At 46.0% G+C, this 1,500-nt stretch overlaps 1 annotated feature.

The window, feature by feature from the left end:
* Positions 742 to 791: an enhancer, noted in NCBI's record as "active region_12404". NCBI's record gives its function as "activates an Ori minimal core promoter by ATAC-STARR-seq in GM12878 lymphoblastoid cells {active_cell/tissue: GM12878}" and the evidence as "EXISTENCE:reporter gene assay evidence [ECO:0000049][PMID:35858748]".

The raw sequence follows: 1,500 nt of genomic DNA, 5'->3' as shown, positions 1-1,500 counted from the left end.
AACCACCTCCGTCACACCAAACAGTGTGCTACTGAGGCTCATGTCAGAAAAAAATCCTAATGTTTGTGGTCTTATCAGAAATTATAACAGCAAAGACTTACAGAACATTTACTGTGTTCTAGGCAGTGCTCTAAGCACTTTATTATATTCATTTAATTCTCTGAGGTAATTCTACAATCATCCTCATTTTATAGATGAGGAAACTGAGGCACCTAAAGGGGCTGAGCAGTTTGCCCAAGGTCGTACAGCTAGCCAGTGATAGAACCAAGATTTAAGGCCAGGTAGTTTAACTCCAGAGTTAATACTCTGACAAATTTTTCTCTAGGTCTTTGCATTATTTAATATCGCCAGTATAATAGTAAGTAATTTGCTGGCAAGGCTCTATATCCCAAAGCCTCTCTAGCTTTTAAATATCAAAGTGAAAAATAATCACAGCACATGAAGGCATCTTGCCATGCCCCAAGGAGAACCTTTCAGGGGCTCCCCACTGCCCTCAGAGTGGCTGATAAGGCCCCCCCAGGTTCTGGCTCCCAGCCTGCACTCACTACTCCCGCCCCCACTCAATCAGCCTGATTTCCTCTTTGCTGTAACCCAGACACCCCACATCCTGTGCCTCCCTGCCTTTGCGCGGGCTCTGCCTGGGAAATCACCTTCACTCATCTCCCTTCCTGCTAAACATTGTCTATTCTTTACTTCTGGGGAGTTTCACCTTCACACCAGTCAGGAGCCTTAGTCCTGCCCCCACCACCCTGGAAACCCTGGCCTGGCACTAGTGCGTTACCCCCTCTCACTCCCTCTCCCACTGGACTCTGATTTCTGCAAGGGCAAAAGCAGCTTATTTGTCTTTATATTCCCAGCGATTAGCACAGCACCTGGTTCCTATTAAGTACCAGTTTGTTGAATGAACACAAGCCCTCCAAAGAACCTAGCAACACTGTTTCATTACTCACTCCAACTGTCTCCACTGGGCGGTCCTGGAGCATAGAACATACGAGGGCTATACTGGAAGGGGCCCAACAGAGATGCCAGTTTAATCCAATCCCTTCAGTGAACAGGTGGAAAAACATTGCCTCAACTAGTCAAGGGCATAATAGGAGCACAGTGGGGTCAAGTTTCCAGACGTCTGAGCCCCCACCAAAACACTCAAAGTCATCTGTATTCGTTTCCTGTTGCTGCTGTGAGAGATTGTCACTATTTTTGGAGGGTTTTTTGTTTTGTTTTGTTTTGTTTTTGTTTTTGTTTGAGTCTTGCTCCGTTGCCCAGGCTGGAGTGCAGTGACGCAATCTCACCTCACTGCAATCTCTGCCTTCCAGGTTCAAGTGATTCTCCTGCCTCAGCCTCCCAAGCAGCTGGGATTACAGGCACGTGCCACCTCACCTGGCTGATTTTTGTATTTTTAGTAGAAATGGGGTTTCACCATGTTGGGCAAGCTGGTCTCAAACTCCTGGATTGTCACAAATTTAGTAACTTAAAAACAACATGCATTTATTATCTTATAGT

This window comes from Homo sapiens, chromosome 17 (assembly GCF_000001405.40).
Source record: "Homo sapiens chromosome 17, GRCh38.p14 Primary Assembly".
Classification (NCBI taxonomy): Eukaryota; Metazoa; Chordata; class Mammalia; order Primates; family Hominidae; genus Homo; species Homo sapiens.
Note: the sequence above shows the minus strand (reverse complement) of the source record. Positions and strands in the feature narration are given on the sequence as shown.